General features: G+C 36.7%; 1 long non-coding RNA gene across 1 annotated transcript in view; it reads left to right on the top strand.

The window, feature by feature from the left end:
* Positions 1-4,890, top strand: part of FIRRE (firre intergenic repeating RNA element) — a 139,119-nt gene extending 134,229 nt beyond the window's left edge. The window contains exon 10 of the long non-coding RNA NR_152876.1: positions 3,779-4,890. This is a non-coding gene — a long non-coding RNA (firre intergenic repeating RNA element). The remainder of the gene's footprint in view (positions 1-3,778) is intronic.
* The last annotated feature ends 9,250 nt before the right edge of the window (positions 4,891-14,140 follow it).

The following is a 14,140-nucleotide window of genomic DNA, read 5'->3' as shown; positions in this document are numbered from 1 at the left end:
GAGGCAGAGGTTGCAGTGAGCTGAGATTGTGCCACTGCATTTCAGCCTGGGTGACAAAGTGAGACCACTTCTCAAAACAAACAAACAAAAACAAAGAAAAAAAACAGATCTTAACACTGACAAAACAGATTCTTTGTAGCAATAAGATACCAAAGTCCAACCTGACTCTAGTATAACTTCACATGATAAAAATGGAAATAAAAATATTTTACCCCAAAGTATGTTTTTTGGCCCTATTTTGAAATGGACCTGCAGAGCCATTGAGAAACATTTGCATCTGTAAAGCATCTCATTAACATAACTAGATCTTTCCTCTTCCAGGCCTTCCGAAACCTGAAGAGATTAACTGAGAATCTAGCACCTTTTAAAAGTCTAAATAGAAAACATTTGCTATCTATTATCTCTAAGGGCAGCCACTTATGAGACTTCATCTATGTAATAAAAACCTTGGTCTCCACAACCCCTTATGTTAACCCAGTCATTCTTTTCTATTGATTCCAGGTCTTTAGAAAATAACTTAACTCTTTCAAGCAATTGCCAATCAGAAAATCTTGGAATCCTCCTATGACCTGTAAGCACCCACTTTCCCCTGCTTTAAGTCGTCCTGCCCTTCTAGACCAAACCAATGGATACCTCACATGTATTGATTGATGTCTTATGTCTCTCTAAAACATAGAAAAGAAAGCTGTAGCCCAACCACCTTGAGCACATGTTCTCAGGACCTCTTGAGACCATGCCTTGGGCCATGGCTACTCATATTTGGCTTAGAATAAACCTCTTCACATATGTTACAGTTTGGCTTTTTTAGTCAATATTAATTGGCACCCTACATATGGGGCCTCAGAGAAGACTCAGAACCCTGAAAGAGTCACCCAAACCCAGAGCTAAGGTACCAGCAGGGGCCCATTGAAAGCCCCCCAACTCCAAGCTTCTTCTTGAGTGAAACTGGTAAGTCCTCCTCAGCCCTGAACCTCCTGCTCAGTTGACAGTCTTCTGCTTTATTCTGAGCTGGTTCTTTTCCTAGGAAGTTGTTGTTCAGGATCCTAATTTTGATTCAGAAAGCATTCTGAAGGATCTTTTCCATTGCCTCTTTCTCCCCAAATTAATCTCACTTGGCTTGTTTGTGCATTTGCTTGAGAAACTGAACTGTCCCTTGTGTGAATCAACGAGAGACTGAACTTCTCAGCTCCACTCCATTGAAACGCAGACTACAGTTTGGTTCCTCCCTTAAAGAAAATTAAAAAAAGGGAAACAAATAATCAAAGAATGAGGAGATACAAAGATAACAACCCCCTTTTGGGCACGTTGTTTGGTTTTATGATGCCTCTACTTGCAAGCATTTGTGTAAATGGAAAAGTTTGAAGGCATGCCAGGTTTTCTAATACTCCAGCTGGTTACATATTATGGTCTATTCTTGGGCACATTTTAAACTTGTGGCTAAATTACATCAAGAAAAATTCAGAGGTCAAAAGTCAACCTGCGAATATAGAGTCTTTAAAGTTTTATGTGTATTTCTCTATTTTCTTTTCTGCCTGCTTTAAATCTGTTGTTACTTTTCTACTGGAGTTGAGATAAAAACCACTGTCTGCATCCAACCATTTCTTTTTCTTTCTTTTTTTTTTTCAAACTGGTGAGTTTGTATTTATCTCATGGTTAGAGTTCTGAAATAAAAGCTATAAGATCTTTGTTTGTATGTGTGTGTATGTGTTTAGATGTGTTTGTATGTACGTACATCCATTTTTTTTAATGTGTTGTGACCACAAAGTACCAAATTGGCTTTACAATAAAGGAGTACTCATAAATTAAGTAAATAAGCCCAGTGCTTTTCTAGTTCATGTGACTTAAGTAAATCTTTAACAAATAAGCTGACTTTAAAATTATTGGTAAAATAAAATTAGAAATGTCTTCAGAATTGTCAGCACACATTTTGTCTAGATTTACTGGTCAGGTGGTTTTGTGTTTATCTCTTATAGATATTTTATAAGGTGTTAAAGTTTGGCACAAAGGATATAGAAGTATAAACTCAGCCCCAAATCTATGATCTTTGTGTAATTTTTGATAAATAAGGCATTTAATATTGTTGGTCTAATGAAAACAGATAAATCCTGAGTTATCAGCAAAAAAAAAAAAACATTTATTTAACTGTAAATTTCATACTTAGTTAAACACCTGATATTCACATGCTGTAAAATTGGTTAACAGAGAAATAACTTTAAATAATGACTAGCTTTGTCTAACATCACAGTTTTCATAAGTACTCTAGGTAAAATATTAAAAATAAATAAATAGTCAAATAAATGCAATGGAATAAATGTTTATAAATAAACTTGTCCTGTAATTTTAAATTCTTAAAGTTATGTTAAGTTAAATAAGAGATAATTATTAAATATGTGGGTCATATCCAATTGTTTTAAAAGATTATATATACAAAAACATTTTCAAACAAATTAATTATAAAATGGTTTTCATCTATAAAATGCTCATGTGATAAACAATTTAAGATTTCCTATTTACTAGGTCTTCACAAAAAAGTAAGGTTACTAAAAATAAAAATTGAATTTAATATATAATTCTACATGTAAAACATGCCAAAAAAAGATATATTCTGATGAAAATAAGAAAAATTATAAGACATAAAAATGTGTTCTTAATAAAAGTAAATAATTTTTGTCTAATTCAAGGGTTACTTTGAAACAGGGTAAAATGAGCTGATAGTAAGTAAAAGAAATGTAAAGAAAGCTATAGCTATAAAAGCAGTATTTTTTGGTAATAGAGTTTAAAAGGAAAATAATTTTGTGTGAAAAAGAATCTTGTATGATAAATTTTTGTCCTAGAATAAAACAGAAAGTTCAAGCATGTCATAAATAGTATGTGAAAGTCATAATAGGGTTTGTAAAAAACAGAATTTATAAAAGAAATTTTGTGTGTGATTAAGTTGGCTATACTGGAAAGGAAATTATTTAATCATCTTCTAGAAATTGTGCTTTGATACTAAAAATACACTAATATAAAACTAAAGTTTTGGTAGACTAGATTTTCTTAAAATATTGATTTATTCAATGAAATTGCAAGAAATTTTTAAATTTTAATTATGTAATTCTTTTTTAAACTTGAAATTTCTGAGATTATCTTAGAAGTTCAAATTCTGCTGTACTCTGCTGTTTTTAGCCTTTCTGTCTTTGAGAAGTCCTGGGATGCAGGTTTGACTTTCAGGTTATTCAAATAAGCTTCCCATAAGGAAAAATAATTGCTACCATAGGTCTTTTTTGTTGTTGTTGTTTTACTTTTTTGGTGATTAGCGTAAGGAACAGTGATTTTACATTTTATCAAAATAATTCCTGTGTTGTTTTAATTAGGTTTTAAAAAATACTTAAAAAACAAACTTTGAAAGGGTTAATGTTTTTATATTTGTGTAACTTCCTATATTGTTGTTGAAGTCTTTTGATTGTGACTCTTGTTAAATGATTAACTATTATTTTATAATGTTGTATGGTTCTGTTTTAATAAAATATTTTGAGACTTTTAACATTTTTGACAAATATCCTCAAAATCAAATCCCAAATTAAGTCTCTGACTTGACTTATTGCTGGAGGCTTATTAAAACTATAAAAATTAATCACTATAAGGATATAGAATCTTTCCACAGCTGCCAACAAGTCATAAACTCCAGTATCACCACCACCAGCCTGATGATTAGACATCAGTTGAGAGACTCCCTCTAGCCCCACTTAAAAAAGGTCTTTATGAAATGTTATTAACTAACCCTTGTGCTGTTAAGTTGCAGGGCTTTGACTCCTGGGTACATGTATCTCATCTGAAAGGGAATCCTGACGCCTACTGAATCTTAATAGTCAATATTGATATCTGGCATCAAATTCAAGTTGACCAAAGTTCCATCTTCAGACCTGGGAGAAGATGACAGTCAAAATGAACTGCTTTCATGTGACACTGGACCAGGCCTATATACAAAGGCATAAGTAATCATTGAATAATGTTTCATCTATCTATCTTAATATAATTTGTTCTATGCCTTACTAGATAAATGTTTAGTTACCTGTGAGTTTTCTTTTCCTGCCATTGTCAGAGCTAGGCAGGGCTTAAGTCCCTTTCGTTTAAACATTACTAACTCTATACATAGCTTGCAAAATTGGATAAAACAACAAAGGTTACTTTTTCACTCTCTCTCTGCTTAATATCTCTGAAATTTAAAACTATTCAGAATCCCACTGGGCCCGATCTATTTTCAATGCTAATGCTCCACTGCTAAAACTATATAAGCATCTTCCCTCTAGGCTCAGGCACTATCTTGGAAGAGGTAAATGTGTAAGATTGTAAAGGTTGATTTTTGAGCAACAAAATTAATTTAGATCTTCCAAATAAAAAATGGGCACACAGATGCCCAAACAGTTGGCAAAATAAGATACTTTACCTCCTGGACCAGTATGTGGACCTTTTTCATCCATCCCAACCATAATTTCCTCTTTCCTGTAGAATTAAAAGAAAATTGCAAAGAGGATATGAACTTTTCTGGTAAGAAAACCTCCTGGGTATAGTGCTCCCAGTTATGAGATTTATGCAGATTGTTATATAAAGTTTTTTTAAATCAAGCACCTTAGGACAAACTATTAAAAAGACTGCTAAAAGCGTTGTGACACAACAAAAGTCTCTAAATTCTGTAGCTTAAAAAGTTTTAACAAAGTACTTATCTTTTGCAAGCTAATTGCTACAAGTCTATAACTAAAACATGTATTGACTGATGTCTTAGGTCTCCCTAAAATATATAAAACCAAGTTGTAAACCAATCACCTTGGACACATGTTCTCAGGACCTCTGGAGACTGTGCCTTGGGCCATGGTCACTCATATTTGGCTGAGAATAAAATTTTAAAAATATTTTACAGAGTTGGGTTTTTCTTGTTGGCTTTTTCATAAAATGTAAAATGTTTGAGAAAGACACTTCTCAAGTGGCCAAGTGAGGATATTCTAGCTTAATGCGTAGAATTTATAGCTAAGTCAATTTTGTAACCTTGCCTTTTGACTTTTGGTTCTTGATGCTTACATTACAAAATTTTAAGGTTTGATAAATGCCTGCTCCACTTCCATTCCCATCTGGCCTAGGATATTTAAATTGGCTATAAGTCTTTTGGCTCTACATCTGTTGGCCGTGAGTCCCCACCAAGGGATAGGATAGACCCAGGGCACATAGCCACACCACCCCAGCAATGGTATGCAACAAAATGATAGTTTGGCCATTGATGTTGCCTCTGGGAAATTTTTTTTTTTTTTTTGACGAAGTCTTGCTCTGTTGCCCAAGCTGGAGTGCAGTGGTGTGTTCTAGGCTGACTGCAACCTTTGCTTCCTGGGTTCAAGTGATTCTCTTGCTTCAGCCTCCCAAATGGCTGGTATTACAGACGTGCACCACCACACCTGGCTAATTTTTTTTTTTTTTTTTTGAGACAGAGTCTCACTCTGTCATTCAGGCTGGAGTGCAGTGGCACAATCTCGGTTCACTGCAACCTCCATTTCCCGGGTTCAAGTGATTCTCCTGCCTCAGCCTCCTGAGTAGCTGGGATTATAGGCATGCACCACCAGGCCCAGCTAATTTTTGTATTTTTTTGTAGAGATGGGGTTTCGCCATGTTAGTCAGGCTAGTCTCGAACTCCTGACCTCGTGATCCACCTGCCTCGGCCTCCCAAAGTGATGGGATTATAGGCGTGAGCCACTGTGCCTGGCCTAATTTTAGTATTTTTAGTAGAGATGGGGTTTCGCAATGTTGGCCAGGCTAGTCTCGAACTCCTGACTTCAGGTGATCTGCCTGCCTTGGCCTCCCAAAGTGCTGGGATTACAGGTGTGAGCCACCACGCTTGGCCTCCTCTGCTCAATCCTGACCAGAAAAATCAAATTCTAACTCCCCCAATCAACTGAATTCCCCTCCATTCATCTGCCAAGGGGATTCTAAAGAATCCTGAAAACTAGTTCAGGCCATGACAATTGACATTAAAACAGATCTTAAAACTGACAAAACAGATTCTTTGTAGCAATAAGATACCAAATTTCAACCTGACTCAGGTATAACTTCACATGATAAAAAAGGAAATAAAAATATTTTACCCCCAAAATAGATTTCTTTGACATATTTTGAAATGGCCCTGCAAGGCAGTTGGGGAAATTTTGCATCTGTAAAGCATCTCCTTAACATAACTAGATCTTTCCCCTTCCAGGCCCTCCTAAACCTGAAGAGATTAACTGAGATTCTAGCACCTTTTAAAGTCTACATAGGAAACATTCACCATTTATTATCTCTAAGGGCAGCCACTTATGAGACTTCATCTATGTAATAAAAACCTTGGTCTCCACAACCCCTTATGTTAACCCAGACACTCCTTTCTATTGATTCCAGGTCTTTAGAAAATAACTTAACTCCTCCAAGCAATTGCCAAACAGAAAACCTTGGCATCTTCCTATGACCTGTAAGCACCCACTTTCCCCTGCTTTAAGTTGTCCTACCCTTCTGCACCAAACCAATGTATACCTCACATGTATTGATTGATGTCTTCTGTCTCTCTAAAACATAGAAAAGAAAGCTGTAACCCAACCACCTTGGTCAGGACGTCTTGAGACTGTGCCTTGCGCCATGGTCAGTCGTATTTTGTGCAGAATAAACATTTTTCAATATTTTACAGAGTTTGGCTTTTTTGTTGACTTTTTTCATAAAACATGAAAGATTATGTTTGAGAAAGGCGTTTCTCAAGTGACCATGTGAAGATGTTGGGAAATCCTCTCGCCAAAGAACAACTATGAAATGGACAAAACCAACCATTTCTGTGCTCTGGAAATTAAATGTGCACAACAATGTTAAACTTTGGGCAAGAAAGTTTGAACTCTGATACGGTTTTGATTTGTGTCACTGCTGAAATCTCTTGTGCAATTGTGACCCTCAGTGTTGGAGGAGGGGCCTGGTGGGAAGTGATTGGATCATGGGGGTGGATTTCCCCCTTGCTGTTCTCATGTAGTGAGTGAGTTCTCGTGAGATCTGGTTGTTTAAAAGTGTGTAGCATCTCCCCCTGCTCTCTTCCTCCTTCTCTGGCCATGTAAAACCTGCCTGCTTCCCCTTTGCCTTCTACCATGATTGTAAGTTTCCTGAGGCCTCCACAGCCATGCTTCCTGTACAGACTGTGGAAGTGTAAGTCAATTAAACGTCTTTAGTCTTTAAACCTATAAATATCTTTGTAACAACTTCCTTAGCTACAATCTATAAGTTATTTATAGATTACACAGTCTCAGGTAGTTCTTAATAGCAATGCAAAAATGCACTAATACAAACCCTGTTTTGGTCTGGCCTGTGGCTGCTTCCGTATTTCTCTTTCCTAGGTCCATCTATAGGGACATTCTGCCAAGGTGAAATAAAGACTGATAAAATTCCTTACTAGCAAACTTGTATTACAAGAAATAACTAAAAACAGTCCTTCAGTCTAAAAGGAAATGACTCTATATGGTGACTTGAATCCACAAGAATAAATGAAGGGCACAGGAAATGGTAAATAGCTGGGTTAATATAAAAAAGACTCTATGTATTGTTTTTTCATTTTTTCTATATTATCTAAATGACCTAAGATTATGTGAAGTAATAATTATTACATTGTACTGTTGGTTTTAAAATATATAACTGTAATTTATATGATAACAGACCAATGTTGGAGGGGTTTGGAAATAAATATGAGCAAAGTTTCTATGTTTTACTTGAAGTAAGTTAGTATTAAGCTGATGTATATTCTGATAGGTTAAAATGTATATTGTAACCCTTAGAACAACTATTAAAATAAATCAAAAGCATAATTAAAAATTCAAAGAGAAGTTAAAGTGGTACATAAAAATATTTAGTGAATATATAGTGAAAAGTTAAAAATATTTACTGAACACAAAAGAATGCAGTCAATCTGGAACAGAGGAACAAATCCAGACGGGAGATATATAGAAACCAAATACCCAAATGGCAAATTTAGATTCAACTATATCAAAAACTACATTAAATTTTAGTAATTTAAACACCAAAATTAAAAGATGGAGATCATTAGGTGGATAAAAAAGCAAGATCTGAGTTTATACTACCTACAGGAGATGAGTCTTAAATCAACACCCAAATAGGTTGAAAGTAAAAGGATGGAAAAAAGATATATGGTGTCAATGGTAATCATAAGAAAGCTGGAGTGGCTACATTAATATCTGAAGAAATAGATTTATGGCAAGGCTTCATGATAAGAATATTATGGAATACACAGATAAAAATTACATAATAGTGTCAGAGTTAATATATCCAGAAGCTAGATCAATTATAAATGTATACATGCTTGCAACAAAGCTTCAAAATACATAAAGCAAGAAGTGCCATAAATAAAAGAAGGACCACACAATTCAGCAATAATAATGGGGCATTTTGCTGGGTGCAGTGGCTCACACCTGTAATCTTAACATTTTGGGAGGCAGAGACGGGTGGATCACCTGAGGTCAGGAGTTCAGGACCAGCCTGGCCAACATGGTGAAACCCCATCTCCACTAAAAATTCAAAAATTAGCTAGGCATGGTGGCAGGCACCTGTAATCCAAGCTACTCAGGAGGCTGAGGCAGGAGAATCACTTGAACCCAGGAGGTGGAGGTTGTAGTGAGCCAAGTTTGTGCCATTGCACTCCAGCCTGGGCAACAGAGCGAGACTCCATCCGGAAAAAAAAAAAAAAAAAGGGACGGGGGGCATTTTTATTCCTCATTCTCAATAACTGGTAGAGCAAGTGGACAGAAAACCAGCAAAAATATATAACACTTGAAAAGACAACATCAACTAGCTTCACCTAACTGATGTATAAAATCACTTCACACAAGCCTGTGGTATACACCCGCTTTTCATGTACACATGGATCATTATGACAGAACATGTGATGGACCATAAAACAAGCCTCAGGAAATTTAAAGATTCCTGTCTTACAAAGTATGAATGGAAGTAAATTAGAAAATAATAAAAGAATAAAATCTGGATATCCATAAATTCCACGGAATTATACATCATAGTTCTGAATAACAAATGGGATGGGTCAAGGAAGAAATCATAAAGTAAATTAGGAGATATTTTTAGTAGAATGAAATTTAAAACAACATATCAAAATTTATTGACTGCAGCTAAGTCAATAACAAAGATATTTATAGGTTTAAACTCTATATCAGAAAAGAATGATTTCAAACCTCATTTGCCCTTTTAGAAGCTAGAAAAAGAAAAGCAAACTAGGTCCAAAACAAGCAGAAGAAAGTAAATCAGTAAGACTAGAATAGAAATGAAAGAAATAGAAAACAGTAAAACAAGAGAAGAAAGTCAATAACATCAAAATTCATTCTATGAAAAAAATACAAAAATTGAAAAATATTTATTTATTTATTTTGAGATGGAGTCTCGCTCTGTCACCCAGGCTGGAGTACAATGGCATGATCTCAGCTAACTGCAACCTCCACCTCCCGGGTTCAAGAGATTCTCCTGCCTCAGCCTCCTGAATAGCTGGGACTACCAGTGCGTGCCACCACACCTGGCTAATTTTTGGATTTTTAGTAGAGACGGGGTTTCACCGTGTTGGCCAGGCTGGTCTCAAACTCCTGACCTCAAGAGATCTGCCCCCCTTGGCCTCCCAAAGTGCTGGGATTACAGGTGCGAGCCATCACGCCCTGCCAAAAAAATATTTATTTAAAAGTCCAAGGGAAAAAACACACTTTTGGAGGCTAAGGCAGCAGGATCACTTGAAGCCAGGAGTTCGAGACCAGCCTGGGTAACAAATGAAGACCCTGTCTCTACAAAAAATTTAAAAATTAGCCAGGCATGGTGGCACGTGCCTGTAGTCCCAGCTATGTGGTAGGCTGAGGCAAAGAATTACTTGGGCCCAGGAGTCTGAGACTTTAGTGAGCTACAATCACCTCACTGCATTCCAGTCTGAGCAACAGGGTGAGACCCCCCTCCGCAATCTCTTTAAAAGAAATTTAAAAAAGAGAACAGGCACAAATTATCAAAATCAGTGATGAAAATGGGACATTGGGATACTACTGATCCCACATAAATTAAAAGGATTGTAAGGGAATATTATGAACATGACAGAAAATTACACAACTTAGATGACGTGGTCAGATTTCTCAAAGGACACAAATTATTAAAACTTATTTAAGAATAAATTAAAAATCTGGCTGGGTGCAGTGGCTCACACCTGTAATTCCAGCACTTTGGGAGGCCAAGGTGGGCGGATCACCTGAGGTTGGGAGTTGGAGACCAGCCTGGCCAACATGCTGAAACCCCATCTCTACTAAAAATACAAAAAAAGAAAAAAAAAAAATTTGCCAGGTGTGGTGGCAGGTGCCTGTAATCCCAGCTACTCGGGAGGCTGAAGCAAGAGAATCACTTAAACCCAGGAGGCAGAGGTTGCAGTGAGCCGAAACCGTGCCATTGCACTCCAGCCTGGGCGACAAGAGCAGGGCGCCATCTCAGAAAAAACAAACAAACAAACAAACAAACAAACAAAAAACCGTAAAAAATCTGACTAGACCTACGACAGAAGTAAATATATTAATAATCAAAAATACTTACACTAAGAAAAATCCCAACCCAGTTGGCTTCGCTGGTGAATTCTATTAAATATTTTTAAAAGAAATAATGCCAGTGCTTCACAACTGTTTCAGAAATAGAGGCTGAGAAAACACTTCTGATTCATCCTGTGAAGCCAGTATTATTCTGACACCAAAACCAGAAAAAGACATCAGAATAACAGAAGACTATAGACCCTTTATATCCTTCATGGTCATGGATATAACACTTAAAATATTAGTAAACTTAATCCAACAACATATAAATAGGATTATATGTCATGACCAAGTGGGATTAATCCCATGAAAACCAGGTTGGTTTAATATTCAAAAGTCAACTAAGTACTGCACAATGTTAGTAGAACATAGGATTAAAATCACATAATTTTCTCAGTAGATGCATAAAAGTATTTATAAAAATGGAACACACATTTATGATAAATAGCCTCAACAAACTAGGAGCAGAAGACTTCCTCAAATTGATAAAGGGCATCCATGAGAAACCCAGGGCTAACATCATATGTAATGTTGAAGAAATGTATTGTTTCCTCCCTCCTAAGATTACTAACAAGGCACAGATGTTCACTTTTGCCACTTCTCTTTTAACGTTTTACTGGATTTTTTAGCCAGTGCAATCAAGTTCAAAAAGAGACATTAAATGCATCTGGATTAGAAAGGAAGTATTAAAACTGCCTTTTTTTTTTCTAGAAAACATCAAGGAATGCATGAAAACTACTAGAACTAGTAATTGAGTTTTATAAATTTACATCACACAATATCAATATACAAAATTGATATTTCTATATACTAGCAATTAATCAGAAAATTGAATTAAAAATACAATGCCATTCACCACAGCATCAACAAGAAAAAAATACTTAGGGTTAAAATTGACAAAAGAGCCGGGTGCAGTGGCAGGTGCCTGTAATCCCAGCTACTGGGGAGGCTGAGGCAGGAGAATAGCTTGAACCAGTGCAGCAGAGGTTTCAGTGAGCCAAGATCATGCCACTGCACTCTAGCCTGGGAGACAGAGTGAGACTCTGTCTCAAAATAAAAAAAAAATTGACAAAAGAAGCACAAGACTTGTCCATGAACTATAGTTGAGAGAACACTGTTGATGGAAGCCAAAGAAGGCAATGAACAGAGACACATTCTATGTTTATAAATCGAAATGCTCATTATTGTCAAGATGGCAATTGTACCTAAATTTATTTATAAATTCAAATCAATCCCCATCAAAATTCCAATAGAAATTGATAGGATGATTTTCAAATTTATATGGAAATGCAAATAACCTAGAATAGCCAAAACAATTTTTGCAAAAGTACAAAGTTGAAAGATATGCTAACTGATTGCAAAACTTACCATAAGACCATAGTAATCAGGACAGTAGAGAATTGGCAAAAGTATAGGCATATACATAAATGGAACAGAATGGAGAGTACAGAAATAAATCCTTGCATCTGTATTCATTTGATTTTTGGCAAAGATATTAGCACAAATCATTAAGAAAAAAGAGGATCTCAGGGAATGGTGCTGGAACATCTGGCTATCCGTATGCAACAAGTGAACTTAAACCGTTACCTCACATAATCACACATAAAGGTTACCTCAGAACGGATCACAGACCTTAACTTTTTTTTTTTTTTTTTGAGACAGTCTCGCTCTGTCACCCAGGCTGGAGTGCAGTGGTGTGATCTCAGCTCACTGCAACCTCTGCCTCCCGGGTTTAAGTGATTCTCCTGCCTCAGCCTCCCAAGTAGCTGGGATTACAAGCATGTGCCACCACGCCCAGCTAATTTTTGTATTATTAGTAGAGACGAGGTTTCACCATTTTGGCCAGGCTGGTCTCGAACTCCTGACCTCAGGTGATCCACCCGCCTAGGCGTCCCAAAGCGCTGGGATTACAGGTGTGAGTCACCACACCTGGCCACACAGACCCTAGTATATGAGCAAAAACTAGAAAACTTCTAGAAGGAAATGGGGGAAAATCTTTGTTTTTGGATTAGGCTAATCCATAAACAAAAGATTGACAAATTGGATTGGACATAGTTAAAATTATAAAATTCTGCTTTTCAAAAGACACTGTTAATAGAATGAAAATGTAAGCCATGGCTTATACAAATATTTCTAAAACATATTTGTTAGAGGACTTGTATGCAAGTTCTTCTATAAAGAACTTTCAAAACTCAATAATAATTAAAAAAATTAAAATAGGTAGATTTGCTGTAACAAAAATACCATAGACTGGGTGGCTTAAACAACATGCATTCATTCCTCACCGTTCTGGAGGCTGAGAAGTCTAAGATCAAGGTGACAGCAAAACTGGTGTCTGGTGAGGGCCTGTTTCCTGACTTAGAGACAGTTTCCATCTTACTATATTCTCACATGGCTAAGAGAGAGATAATCTTTGTCATGTCTCGTCTCAGACACCAATCCCATTCCTGAGGGCTCTACCCTCATGAACTAACTCCCAGAGGCTCACCTCCAAATATCATCATATTGGGAATTAGGCTACAAGATTCAAATTTAGGAGGCATTCAGTTCATAACAATGAGCCAAATATTTAATAGATACTTTACTAAAGAAGATACATGCATGTATAAAAATACATGAAAATATGCCCAAACATCATTGGCCATTAAAAAAATGCAAATTGAAACCATAAGGTAATAAAACTACACTCATTACAATGGCTATAATAAGAAAACCAGACAATTTCACATTTTTGACGGTGTAGAGACACTGGAAATTTCAGACATGCCAGTGAGAATGTAAAATTTTTTCACCATTTTGGAAAAAAGCTTGACTATTTTTCTTTCTTTCTTTCTCTCTTTCTTTCTCTCTCTCTCTCTCTCTCCCTCTCCCTCTCTCTCTCTCTCTCTGTCTCTTCCTCCCTCTCTCTCTCTCTCTCTCTCTTTCCTTCCTTCCTTCCTTCCTTCCTTCCTTCCTTCCTTCCTTCCTTCCTTCCTTCCTTTCTTTCTTTCTTTTTCTTTCTTGAGACAGTACTGCTCTGTTGCCCAGGCTGGAGTGCAATGGCATGATCTTGGCTCACTGCAACTCTATCTCCCAGGTTTGAGCGATTCTCCTGTCTCAGCCTTCCAATTCTCCTGTCTCAGCCTCCCACGTAGCTGGGACTACAGGCGCCCGCCACCATGACTGGCTAGTTTTTGTATTTTTAGTAGAGACGGGGTTTTGCCATGTTGGCCAGGCTGGTCTCGAACTCCTGACCTCAAGTGATCTGCCTGCCTTGGCGTCCCAAAGTGCTGGGATTACAGGCATGAGCAATTTCTTTAAAAAGAAAACATAAACTCAAGATATGACCCAGCTAGTCTTCTTTAAGGTATTTACCTGTCCTAAGCCACTCACGCTTCTATAACAAAATACCACAGACTGGGTAATTTATAAGCAATAGAAATTTATTTCTCACAGTTTTGGAGGCTGGAAAGTTCCAGATCAAGATACTGGCAGGTTTGGTATCAGGCGAGGGTCCAGTCTCTCACCTTCCAAGCTGTTGCCTTGTTGCTGCATCTTCT

The sequence above is a fragment of the Homo sapiens genome, chromosome X (genome assembly GCF_000001405.40).
Source record: "Homo sapiens chromosome X, GRCh38.p14 Primary Assembly".
Taxonomy (NCBI): domain Eukaryota; kingdom Metazoa; phylum Chordata; class Mammalia; order Primates; family Hominidae; genus Homo; species Homo sapiens.
The sequence above is the reverse complement of the archived record's forward strand: the minus strand, read 5'-3'. Positions and strand labels throughout refer to the sequence as shown.